The sequence below is a fragment of the Homo sapiens genome, chromosome 17 (genome assembly GCF_000001405.40).
Source record: "Homo sapiens chromosome 17, GRCh38.p14 Primary Assembly".
In the NCBI taxonomy this organism is placed as follows: Eukaryota; Metazoa; Chordata; class Mammalia; order Primates; family Hominidae; genus Homo; species Homo sapiens.
The window spans coordinates 43,833,474-43,846,816 of record NC_000017.11 but is presented as its reverse complement, the minus strand read 5'-3'; the positions used below and the strand labels follow the sequence as shown (position 1 = coordinate 43,846,816).

At 46.5% G+C, this 13,343-nt stretch overlaps 1 long non-coding RNA gene across 2 annotated transcripts; it reads right to left on the bottom strand.

The window, feature by feature from the left end:
• Positions 1 to 199: 199 nt before the first annotated feature.
• On the bottom strand, positions 200 to 13,112 carry LOC107984979 (uncharacterized). Of its 2 annotated transcripts, XR_001753057.2 has the most exons (3): positions 12,828 to 13,112; positions 6,869 to 6,960; positions 342 to 553 (listed from the first exon to the last, which is right to left on the bottom strand). It is a non-coding gene; the product is annotated as an uncharacterized LOC107984979 (long non-coding RNA). The 2 variants fall into 2 exon arrangements; XR_007065765.1 differs by lacking the exon at positions 12,828 to 13,112 and having other exon boundaries at positions 200 to 553; positions 6,869 to 7,095.
• Positions 13,113 to 13,343: the final 231 nt, after the last annotated feature.

Genomic DNA, 13,343 nt, shown 5'->3' with positions numbered 1-13,343 from the left:
CAACTTTGTTACCAATTACAATCACAGACACTGGCACATCAAGTTGTGGATATCTCGAAACGTCGTGTATACCCCTCACTGCTTGGAAAACAATGAGTTCCTAGACCTGCCCCTAGAGCTGGTTATTTACAATAATGAAACGGCTATTATTATATTACACATTTATAAAGAGTTTTAAGAATCATCTCACCAGTATTAGTTTTCTTTCCAGCATATATATTTTATTTATATATTTACCCGCCATTATACTGAGAGAGGGGTCCATAAACTTCACCAGACTGCCATGTGGTCAGTGGGACAGAAAGAAGCTTGCCCCTGGGGCAAGGCCCCTGGCCCCTCCTCCGCCCTTGCCTTTTGGAGGACGCAGTACTGCCCTTGGCCACGGGGCGGCGGTGCAGACGGGGCTGAGCAAAGCTGTAGGGCTGAGCTGGACCGGATTCCCTGGTGCCTTGGGCCTACAGCGCTGCAAGATAGGTCTCCTCCACGCCTGCGGAGTTGTTTTGGCATTTGAAAAAGTGAATTGGTGGTTTCTCCATCGCAGACTTGAATCCTCCTTGAAAGGACCAAAACAAACATGTACACTACTGGGAGCTCTGACACACTGGCTTCAAAAATGACTTTTTTTTTGGTTTGGTTGCAAAGTTCATACAGGTTGTAAGCAAAATTTTACACAATACAGAACGTAAAAAGGAAAGAAAGAAAAAAGGGAGTGCTTCTTGTAATTCCCCTTCTGCTTTAGAAAAGCACCATTAATATTTTGGCATATATCCTTCCAAATGTTCAGTTGGAATTTTACTGACTTGTCAGGTTAATATCTGAAGCATTAACTCAGTGGTTCTGGGAGGGAAGATTGTGTGTGTGTGAGTCTAGTAACGTGGGGAGAAGTGTTTTAATTTCACAATGACTGCGAAGCACTGCTGCCATTTAGTGGGCAGGGCCAGCTGTTCACGGTGGGGAAAACTGTTACCATGATCTCAGCCCCTGACTCTCTTTTACATGTACAGACTACAAAAGGTGATCTGTTTTTGCAGTTTTAAAAAAACACAGATTAAAAAATATTTATGGCCCAGCATGGTGGCTCACGCCTGTCATCCCAGCACTTTGGGAGGCTGAGGCGGGTGGATCACCTGAAGTCGGGAGTTTGAGACCAGCCTGACCAACATGGAGAAACCCAGTCTCTACTAAAAATATAAAATTAGCCAGGCATGGTGGTGTATGCCTGTAATCCCAGCTACTCAGGGAGGCTGAGGCAGGAGAATCGCTTGAACCCAGAAGGTGGAGGTTGTGGTGAGCTGAGATCACACCATTGCACTCCAGCCTAGGCAACAAGAGTGAAATTCTATCTAAAAAAAGAAAAAAAAGTATTTGTTTATTTACTTATTTTTGAGACAGGTCTCACTCTTGTTGCCCAAACTGGAGTGCAGTGGCGCCATCACAGCTCACTGCAGCCTCAAACTCCCAGGCTGAAGTGATCCTCCCACCTCAGCCTCCCAAGTAGCTGGCACTACAGGCGTGCACCACTGTTGCCTGGCTAATTTTTTATTTTTAGTAGAGACAGGGTCTTGTTATGTTGTCAGGCTTTTCTCAAACTCCTGGCTTCATGCGATCCTCCCACGTCGGCCTCCCAAAGTGCTGGGATTACAGGCACGAGCCACCATGCCCGGCCTTAAAGTAATACTTATTCTAGCATTTGATAGCATATCTTTGCTCTTCTATTTATTTATTTTTGTCCTTACACAGAATAATTTCTGATCCTCTACATTTCTTAAATTCAGACTTATTTATTATATGCAAGGACGAGCATCTGACACTTCATTATGCTTTCTAGTGTCATGGGACCTGAGCACTGACAGATTGAAATATGTGTTATTTGGTTATAAATTGCTTTCCTTTTATTTTTTCTCCCTAGTATAGCTCAGGCACTATAGTGTGATTTTAAAGAAGTAAGTGCTTGTGAAGGCATATTATTTATGATTGTCATTTTAGGAGAGTAAGCGAGGTGTTATTAAATGTTTATTTATATAAAGAGCATGTTGAGTGGATCCCTACCCTCTTCCTGCATATTTGAAGGTCCTTCCCCTCCATTTCCCAGCCCCACACCTAGCCCAGGAGGCTGGCTCAAGAACTCCATTAGAAACAGATTCACCAGACTGGGAAGTGGAGCAAGGGCTGGGGAGAAGGGTGAAAGTGAGGTGCTGGCATGAGCCTCGCACCTAGTTCCACCTTAGGCCACACTCTGGGGTAGATGGGGCCAACAGACAGACCTCCGTGGTGGGCTGGGGATCTGAGAAGAGAGGATATTTTTGTCCTGCTTCCCACCAGAAGCATGGGGAGGTGCCCCACCATCACTGCACCTGGGAGAGGCAATGAGGCACAAGGGCTCCTGGACAGGTCACTGGGCTCGTGACAGCCTCATCACATCCTCAGGAAGGCCTCTGTGTGCCCAAGAGGTACAGTGGCAGGGATGAGGGGACTGAGCTGCTTGGTCTTCGATGGCCACCCTGGTCCAATTCCTCTCGGTTTGGACTTGGACTAAATCACTTCAGCTGCTCCAAGAGGGTCACTTGCTCCTCTTAGATCAAGGTTTCCCCAACCTCAGTACTGTTGACATTTTAAGTTAGATAATTCTTTGTTGTGGGAGACTGTCCTGTGAATTATAGGATGTTTAGCAGCATCTCCAGCTGTACCCCCTAGATGCCAGTAGTCCCTTCCCAGTTGTGATAATCAAAAATGTCTCCAGGCTGGGTGAGGTGGCTCATGCTTATAATCCCAGCACTTTGGGAGGCCAAGGTGAGTGGATCACTTGAGCCCAGGAGTTTGAGACCAGCCTGGGCAACATGACAAAACCCCGTCTCTGCAAAAAATACAGAAAATTAGCCAAGCATGGCAGTGTGCACCTGTGGTCCCAGCTACACACAGGCTGAGGTGACAGAATCACCTGAGCATGGGAGGTCGAGGCTGTAGTGAGTCGAGATCCCATCACTGCACGCCAGCCTGGGTGATGGGAGTGAGACCTTGTCTCAAAAAAAAAAAAAAAAAAAAAAAGGCCGGGCGCAGTGGCTCACGCCTGTAATCCCAGCACTTTGGGAGGCCGGGGTGGGCGGATCACAAGGTCAGGAGATCGAGACCATCCTGGCTAACACGGTGAAACCCCGTCTCTAAAAAAATAAAATACAAAAAAATTAGCTGGGCATGGTGGCGGGCACCTGTAGTCCCAGCTACTCGGGAGGCTGAGGCAGGAGAATGGCGTGAACCCGGGAGGTGGAGCTTGCAGTCAGCTGAGATCACGCCACTGCACTCCAGCCTGGGTGACAGAGCAAGACTCTGTCTCAAAAAAAAAAAAAAAAAAAAAGCCTCCAGGCATTGTCAAACATCCCACTGAGAGGCAAAAATACCCTGGGTTGAGAACTGCTGTCTTAGATGATGAATAACTGTGGAACAAATAAGTGCACTTTTGTGTAAGTTATGTTTATTGTTTATGTAGGTCAGGGTGTTCCATCTTTTGGCTTCCCTGGGCCAAGAAGAAGAATTGTCTTGGACCACACATAAAATACAGTAACACCAGTGATAGCTGATGAGTTAAAAAAATAATCTCATAATGTTTTAAGAAAGCTTACGAGTTTGTTTGGGGCTTCATTTAAAGCCATCCTGGCTGCATGCAGCCCGTGGGCCGCGGGTGGATAAGCTTGATGCAGGCATAGTAACACGGTTTTGGAAACAGGACAGTGGGCAGAACCTAATGCTGAACCCCAGAATCAGGTAAAACTGCGTCCTTCTTTCCTCAGTGGAGCTGGGCCATCCTCGTAATACTCAGGGTGAGGTGTGGTGTATCAGTTTAGAACACACACTTTTTGCAGGTGGGCCAGCTCACCAGAGAAAAGGAAGAAGAGAGCCGGGTTACACACGCCTTGTTCCTCCTTCAACATTCATCAATCAAATCAGCAGAGGCATGGAGAAAGGCGTGGAGAGGTGTAGAGAGAGGCGTGGAGAGGCGTGGAGAGAGGCGTGGAGAGGCGTGGAGAGAGGCGTGGAGAGGCGTGGAGAGAGGCGTGGAGAGGCGTGGAGAGAGGCGTGGAGAGGCGTGGAGAGAGGCGTGGAGAGAGGCGTGGAGAGGCGTGGAGAGAGGCGTGGAGAGGCGTGGAGAGAGGCGGGGAGAGGCGTGGAGAGAGGCGTGGAGAGGCGTGGAGAGAGGCGTGGAGAGGCGTGGAGAGGCGTGGAGAGAGGCGTGGAGAGGCGTGGAGAGAGGCGTGGAGAGGCGTGGAGAGAGGCGTGGAGAGGCGTGGAGAGAGGGGTGGAGAGGCGTAGAGAGAGGCGTGGAGAGGCGTGGAGAGAGGCGGGGAGAGGCGTGGAGAGGCGTGGAGAGGCGTGGAGAGAGGCGTGGAGAGGCGTGGAGAGGCGTAGAGAGAGGCGTGGAGAGGCGTGGAGAGAGGCGTGGAGAGGCGTGGAGAGAGGCGTGGAGAGGCATGGAGAGGCGTAGAGAGAGGTGTGGAGAGGCGTAGAGAGAGGCGTGGAGAGAGACTAAGAGTTTTGTGCCAGTGGGGTTCTCTGCTCATGGAAGGAAACATCAGGAGTGGGGAAGACGTGTCCCCGGCAAAGACAAATGAGCCACAAGACAGGAAGATTTGGATTCCTGAGCTACCACTTGGAAGACAGCTGCCCTGGACAGCCACCAAGCGTGCGGCGGACTTGGAATGAGCAAGAGATAGACTTTTCTGTGTTTAGCCACGGAGATCTTGCAGTTTGCTAGTTGCTGTAGCACAGTGTAGACCACCACCATGCTTTTTGTTTTCCGTCATACATTCATCCTCTAGTCTCCTCGCAGCTTCCCTACCCTAGCTGGTTGCAAACTCGATTTTTCAACTTTCTCCATCAAACAAATCTGAAAACTCCCTTTCAATTTTTTTTTTTTTTTTTTTTTTTTTTTGAGACAGCAGGCGCGATCTCGGCTCACTGCAACCTCCACCTCCTGGGTCCAAGCGATTCTCGTGCCTCAGCCTCCTGAGTAGCTGGAATTACAGGCACGTGCCACCATGCCCAGCTCATTTTCTGGTATTTTTAGTAGAGACAGGGTTTCACCATGTTGGCCAAGCTGGTCTCAAACTCCTGACCTCAAATGATCTGCCTGCTTCGGTCTCCCAAAGTGCTGGGATTACAGGTGTGAGCCACCGCACCCGGCCCCTTTCAAATTTTTTATGTTAACCAATTACTTCGGGGAATGACAGGGAAAATGATGGAGGAGGGCAGTAATGGGAGACTGGTAATGCCTCAGGAGCTCAATCAGTAAATGCCCACGTTTACTGATAGGTAAATTTCAAATCTTCTCAGAAACTTTGAAGGCTAACTGCAATGTGTTATCTTGGACTGGATCCCAGAACAGAGAAAGGATATTAGTGGAAAAACTAGTGAAAGATTAATAAAGTCTGGAATTTCCTTAATAATAACATTCCAATGTTCATGTCTTAGTTTTGACAAATGTATCATGATTATGTAAGATGCTAACATTAGAGAAAACAGGGGAAAGGGTGTTCAGGAACTCTCTGTACTATCTTTGCAACTTTTCTGTAAATCTAAAATTATTCCAAAATATAAAGTTTATTAAGAAAAAAGAAAGTATACTGGGGAGGCTGAGGTGGGAGGATCACTTGAGCCTGAGGGGTCGAGGCTGCAGTCAGCCGTGAGCATGTCACTGCACTCCAGCCTGGGTGACAGAGCGAGACTGTCTTAAAAAAAAAAAAAAAGCAGTGAAAAGCTAAAAAGAGCATGGGGGTTCCCAGGCATAAGTCTGCATGCAAGTAGACAGGAAGCCAGAAAGATAAGCTCAGTGTATGTGCTTGTTTTCCCTGTGGGCATTTACTGATTCCAAAGCAGCAGCGAAGAGGATGAACTAGGAGTCTAGGGCCCTCTGGGGGCAGGGAATGGAATCTGGCATATTTTTGGTCACATTAGGCTGGGACCCCAAAAGGCTGTACAAACCAGGCCACCATGGACTTCCACCCAGCTTTCTGTCATTTAGGTGTCCCAGGAAACTTCAAGCTTTGAACTTGAATTAAAAGTGGCTCTTGTCTGGCAGCACCTTCCCCATCCCTACCCTCGGGTACCTTAAAGATATTAGTGAAAAATCCTTTCTGGAGGAAAATAGCATCAGCCTAAGCTGATCATTTTTACAAGTAGTTTTTTCAAATACCATCTAATATATAATCAAAGATAACCAAATCTATGAGAAGACTCAATAAGCAAGAATATGCAGAAACAACAAAACAGACCCGTGGGGACTCCATATACTGTAAATAGCAGGATCAGCCTTAACACAACTATTCTTACTGTGCTCAAGGAGGTAAAAGTCAAGCTTGACATTTTTGGCAGGGAACTGGAAAGAACAAAAAGTGACAGCAGATTTGAAAAAAGCACAACATAAGAATTCTAGGACTGGCTGGGAATGGTGGCGCATGCCTGTAGTCCCAGCAACTTGGGAGGCTGAGGCTGGAGGATCGCTTGAACCCGGGAGGCGGAGGTTGTAATGAGCTGAGATCGTGCCATTGCATTCCAGCCTGGGTGACAGAGCAATACTCTGTCTCAAAAAAATAAAACAAAAATAAAAATAAGAGAAATAGGTAACAAAAGCCACAAACAATAGGAAAAGTTATCAGAAATCTCAAAAAACAAAACAAAACAAAAAAACCCCAAAACCCCAGTACAGTAATTTCCCTTCTCATTGAGAAGTAAATGGAGCTGAGCCTGCCCTTTCTCCACCCGCTTCTGACTTGCCCTCTTGCTGCATGCCTGGGCACTAGCCCATTGCTCCTCTTGGAATTATTTCTGGTTCCCTATGGTGTCTGGGCTGAATGCCAAATGCAATGACAATGCACACCTGTAGCCTGAAGCAGATTCTCTCTGTCACCTCTTCAAGGATCGTTGGCATTCTCTTTTTTTCCAGAGCATGCTTGGTAAAGTCTCTTCTCCCTGTCCAGATGGACCCAAAGTCATTCATTCCTCTGGCATTGAGCTCATCTTCCTGTTCCCTGTGCAGCTGCTCTAAACGAGCACCTTGACCGAGCCCTGGCTGGGTGAGGCGACTCCTGCCCTGAGCTTCCGGCCATCTGGGCCAACTCCGCCCTGGCTGCACCTGCCCTGTCCTATGATGCAGCCTCTCCCAGCACTCCTGCTCCAAGCTCTCATCCACCTAAACATCTCTCTCTGCTTCTCTTTTCTTCCATTCTGCTTGCCCAAATATCCTCTGGACTAAAGGACATGTACATATAATATTTTAACAAATATTACCAGATCGTGTCCCAGAAAGTTTGCACCAAATAATATTCCTTCCAAATGTGTAAATGTGTCTTTTCCCCACATCCTTGATAGCACTGGATGTCAACAGACTTAAACATTTTTGTCTTAACAAGGGACATTGCCTCCTATTTTGGCTAAGAATTCTTCGATTATGAGTGAGGTTGTGCATCTTTTGGATTTTTTTTCCTTTTTTTTTTTTTTTAAACAGGAGATCTAGCATCAGTTTTCTGTGTTTATTGGCTATGTATTTTTTGTATTAGACTATTTTCTTTGACCGTTTAAAATTTTTTCATCTTTTCTCATTTATGTAAACTCTTTTAAATTGAGGAATTTAACTTTATCATATTGCATATGATATCATATGTTGCAAATAATATTTTTACCTATAAAAATGTTTACCCTTTTTTAAATCACACATATCCACCTTTTCCTTTATAGATTTGGATTTGGAATTTACTTAGAAATGTTTCCCTCACTGCAGCCGGGCGCGGTGGCTCATGCTTGTAATCCCAGCACTTTGGGAGGCCAAAGCGGGCGGATCACGAGGTCAAGAGATCGAGACCATCCTGGCTAACACGGTGAAATCCCGTCTCTACTAAAAATACAAAAAATTAGCCTGGCGTGGTGGCAGGCACCTGTAGTCCCAGCTACTCGGGAGGCTGAGGCAGGAGAATGGCGTGAACCCGGGAGGCGGAGCTTGCAGTGAGCCGAGATCGCACCACTGCACTCCAGCCTGGGTGACAGAGCGAGACTCCGTCTCAAACAACAACAACAACAACAACAACAACAACAACAACATTAGCTGGGTGTGGTGGCGGGTGCCTGTAATCCTAGCTACTCAGGAGGCTGAGGCAGGAGAATCACTTGAACCCGGGAGGCGGAGCTTGCAGTGAGACGAGATCTCGCCACTGCACTCCCGCCTGGCCGCAGAGCAAGACCCCGTCTCAAAACAAAAGCGAAAGAAAGCTGTATCCCTACCTCACTTCTCACATCAAAATATTTTCTCAGTAAATTTATTTTTATAATCTTGCAGAGGAGGGCAGGTGATCTGCCCGCCTCCACCTACCGAAGTGCTGGGATTACAGGCATGAACCACTGCGCCCAGCCTTTTTTCCTCTCTCTTTTTTTTTCCCATAAAGAGTAGCTATTGTAATTGTCGCCATACCTTATTTTATTTTGAGACAGGGTCTTGCTCTGATGCCCGAGCTGGAGTGCAGTGGCATGATCACGGCTCACTGCAACCTCTATCTGCTGAGCTCAAGCAATCCTCCCACCTCAGCCTCCTGAGTAGCTGGGTCTACTTGCACATGCATCAATTTTTTTTAATTTTTTTATTTTTAGTAGAGACAGGTCTTGCTATGTTGCCCAAGCTGGTCTTGAATTCCTGGGCTCAAGAGATCCTCCCGCCTCAGCCTCCCAAACTGCTGCGATTACAGGTGTGAGCCACTGCACCTGGCCTGTCCCCACATTAAAAAAAAAAAAAAATTCCTCTCCTTCCACTTAAATGTCACCTTTCTCAAATATTAAAAGACAGTATACATGAGGACTATTTCTGTTCTTTCAATTCTGTTCTATTTGTCTAGCTGTTGATTGCCTCTTTAGTACTAAACTTTATTAATTCATTTTTTTTGAGACAGGGTCTTGCTGTGTCACCCAGACTTGAGTGCAGTGGTGTGGTCATGGCTCACTGCAGCCTCGAACTCCTGGGTTCAGGCAATTCTGCTTCAGCCTCCTGAGCATCTGGGACTACAGGTGAGCACCACTACACCCAGATAATTTTTGCATTTTTTGTAGAGATGGGGTTTTGCCATGTTGCCCAGGCTGTTCTTGAACTCCTGGGCTCAAGTGATCTACCTGCTTCGGCCTCCCAGAGTCCTGGGACTATAGCCTCAGTACTAAACTTTAAAAATTGTTTTCATATTTTTAAATCCCACCTCCCTTGGTCCCATAACTCTTTTTTTCCCAGAACTTTCCTATTATTCACCAATGTTTATTTTTCCTGATGAATTGTGGTAGCATTTAATAAATTCTCTGTGAAAAATACTTCTTATATTTTAATTGGAATTGCATTGGGTATAAAGATTATTTCAGAATGAATTAATATAATTGCACTATTGAACTGTTCTTTCCCTAGCCATTTGAGGTACATTTTATCTTTTATGTCCTTCACTAGAATTTTAAAGTTTTTTTCTCCCAAATATCAATAGGTCTTTCATTTTTCCTATTAAGTTTATAAATTGGTATTTAATCTTTCTTGATATCTTAGTTTGGATTTTTTCTTTCATTATACTTAATAATTATTTTTGTCCACAGGAAAGTCATAATGTTTTTTTTGTTTGTTTGTTTGTTTTTAAGACAGAGTCTCGCTCTGTCACCAGGCTGGAGTGCAGTGGTGCGATCTCGGCTCACTGCAACCTCTGACTCCCTGGTTCAAGCTATTCTCCTGCCTCAGCCTCCTGAGTAGCTGGGATTACAGGCACGTGCCACCAAGCCCAGCTAATTTTTGTATTTTTAGTAGAGACGGAGTTTCACTATGTTGGCCAGGATGGTCTCGATCTCCTGACCTTGTGATCTGCCCGCCTCGGCCTCCCAAAGTGCTGGGATTACAGGCGTGAGCCACCGTGCCTGGCCGGAAAGTCATAAATTTTTAATATCAATTGTATACTCTGCCATCTTAAATTTTTTCATCATTTCTTTCTTGTAATTTGTTTCTTTTTATTGGTGAGTAAATATGCCATTGTATGGATATACCACAAGTGAATGAATATTTATCCATTCACTTCTTGATGGACACTTGAATGGGATTAATGCCCTTATAAGAGAACTTGAAGGGAGCACCCTAGTCCCTTTGGCCCCTACTGCCACATGAGGACACAGCGTTCATCCCTTTATGCCCGTCTTTCTTTCTTTCTTTTTTTTTTTTTGAGATGGAGTCTCGCTCTGTCGCCCAGGCTGGAGTGCAGTGGCGCGATCTCAGCTCACTGCAAGCTCTGCCTTCCGGGTTCACGCCATTCTCCTGCCTCAGCCTCCCAAGTAGCTGGGACTACAGGTGCCTGCCACCACGCCTGGCTATTTTTTTGTATTTTTAGTAGAGACGGGGTTTTGCCATGCTGGCCAGGATGGTCTTGATCTCTTGACCTTGTGATCCACCTGCCTCAGCCTCCCAAGGTGCTGGGATTACAGGCGTGAGCCACCGCGCCTGGCCTATGCCTGTCTTTCTCTTCCACCATGTGAGGATACCTATCCAGTGCCATCAGTGAGGAACAGGCCCTCACCAGACACTGAACCAGCTGGCCCCTTGATCTTGGACTTTCCGGCCTCTAGAACTGTAAGCAATAAATTACTATTACTTCTTATAAATTACTGTGGTATTTTGTTATAGCAGCAGGAACTGACTATGACAGGTTTTAATTTGCATTTCCCTGATGACAAATGATGTTGGATGAGTGCTTTCTCATATGCTTATTGGTTATTTGTATATCTTCTTTTGTGAAGTGCATGTTCATATCTTTTGCCTGTTTTTTGATTGGGTGGTTTGTCTTTTTATTGAGTTACAGGAGTTCTTTATTCTGAATACAATCTCTTTGTCAGATATATTTCTTCCTAGTCTCCCAGTCTGTGGCTTGCCTCTTTTCTTTTCCTTTCCTTTTCTTTCTTTTTTCTTTTCTTTTCTTTTTTTTTTTTTGAGACAGGGTCTTACTCTGTCACCCAGCCTGGAGTGCAGTGTCACAATCATGGCTCACTGTAACCTCTGCTTCCCAGGCTCAAGTGATCCTCCTGCCTCAGTCTCCTGAGCAGCTGGGACTACTGGCACAAGCCAACATGCCTGGCTAGTTTTTGTAATTTTAGTAGATACCGACTGGGTTTTGCCGTGTTGCCCAGGCTGGTCTCGAACTCCTGGGCTCAAGCCATTCACCCGCCTTGAACTCTTAAAGTGCTTGAAGGGATTACAGGTGTGGGCCACTGCACCTGGTCCCTGGTCCTATTTTCTTAATAGTGTTTTGTTTTGTTTTGTTTTGTTTTGTTTTGTTTTGTTTTGTTTTGAGACGGAGCCTCACCCTGTGGCCCAGGCTGGAGTGCAGTGGCGCGATCTCCACTCCCTGCAACCTCCGCCACCACACCCGGCTAATTTTTGGTATTTTTAGTAGAGACGGGGTTTAACCATGTTAGCCAGAATGGTCTCCATCTCCTGACCTCGTGATCTGCCCGCCTTGACCTCCCAAAGTGCTAGGATTACAGACGTGAGCCACTGCGCCCGGTCTTTTTTTTTTTTTTTTTTGAGATGGAGTCTCACTCTGTCACCCAGGCTGGAGTGCAGTGGCCTGATCTTGGCTCACTGCAACCTCTGCCTCCCGGGTTCAAGCAATTCTCCTGCCTCAGCCTCCTGAGTAGCTGGAACGGACACAGGTGTGTGCCACCATGCCTGGCTAATTTTTTGTATTTTTAGTAGAGATGGGGTTTCACTGTGTTAGCCAGGATGGTCTCAATATCCTGACCTCAGATGATCCACCCACCTTGGCTTCCCAAAGTGCTGGGATTACAGGCATGAGCCACTGCACCTGGCCAATAGTGTTTTTTGATGAGCAGGAGTTTTAAATTTTGATGAGGTCCATTTATCAATTGTTTTCAGGGTCCATGCTTTTTTTAAAAATTTTTTCTTTTTTTAGAAACGGTGTCTCTTTGTCACCCAAGCTGAAGCGCAGTGGACTGATCATAGTTCACTGCAGCCTTGAACTCTTGGGCTCAAGCAATTTGCCTGCCTCAGCCTCCTGAGTATGTGGGATACAGGCTCATGCCACCATGCCTGGCTTTTTTGTATCCTTTCTAGGAAATCTTTGCATACCCCAAGATTTAAAAGATACCCTCCTGTTTTATTCTAGTAGCTTTATCGATTTGCTTTATGTTTAGGCCAATGATCTCTCTTAAATTGCGTTTTGAATATGGTGTGAGGTAGGGATTGGGTCCCTTCAGGCACATAAATATCTACTTGTTCCAACACCACTTCCTGGTGTTCTTGTCCAAAATCATTTGACCCATATCAGATGGATCAGATGGTTCTCATTATTTTTCCAACAGTAAACATTGCAGCTAAGAATGTGTCTCATGCAGTCTCTCTCCACTCAAAAAGTGTGGTCTGCAGACCAGTGGCGTCACATCACCTGGGAGCTTGTCAGAAATTCAGAATCTGGCACCACTCCAGCATTACACAACCCCCTAGTGAGTCTCAGGCACGTTACATTTTGAGGAGCAATAGTGTAGATATTTCTTGAGGAATGAGGATAATTTTTGAGGAATGAGGGGAAACATCATCATGACATTTGCTGCCTCTCACAGCCTCCCCATGCACTACAGCCTGTGGGGCCTGCCAACCCATTTTCCCTGGTTACTGTGCAGGGCTAGATTTACTTCCAGACTTAACCTCTGGGTCCACCTCTCCTGACATGTGCTGTGCCGTTCTTTGCTGCTGGGATTGAGGGAAGGGGGCCCACTCACTCACCCACTCCTCACCTTTTAATACCCACAACCACCTGCTCACTCACCCAGCAGTTCCTATGCTCTCCCCTATACACATTCTTTCACCAGGAACCTCAGTTTCCTCAATTGCAGAACCAAAATAAGAATGGTCTTGATATCAGGAACTACTGTGAAGGGAAGTGATCTGAGGAGTACCTGGGCATGGAGACAGCACAATATAAGTCAGTTATCGTCATGGCCATTTCAGAGCTCTTTTTCCAGTAAAGCCCCTGGATGCTGCTCGCCTCTGCTATGTAGCCTCACTCCCCTGCAGCCGGGCAGAATGGAGTCCCCCTCCTCTCCAGCCTGACTTCTCCTCCCCTGCTCCGCGTCCCCAGGGCAGCGTGCACCGATAAATCTTTCCCAGCGCGTTGCATTGTTACAGCGAGTTGCCCTCGCATCCGACCGGCCCCCCGCCCCACCTCTGGAGATCTTCAAACCCAGGATCTGTGCCTTGGTCGTCTTTGAAGCCCCGGCCCCTGGCACAGCGCCTGGCACCTGGAGGGCGCTCAATAAATGTTTGCAAAATCGAATTCTCTGTT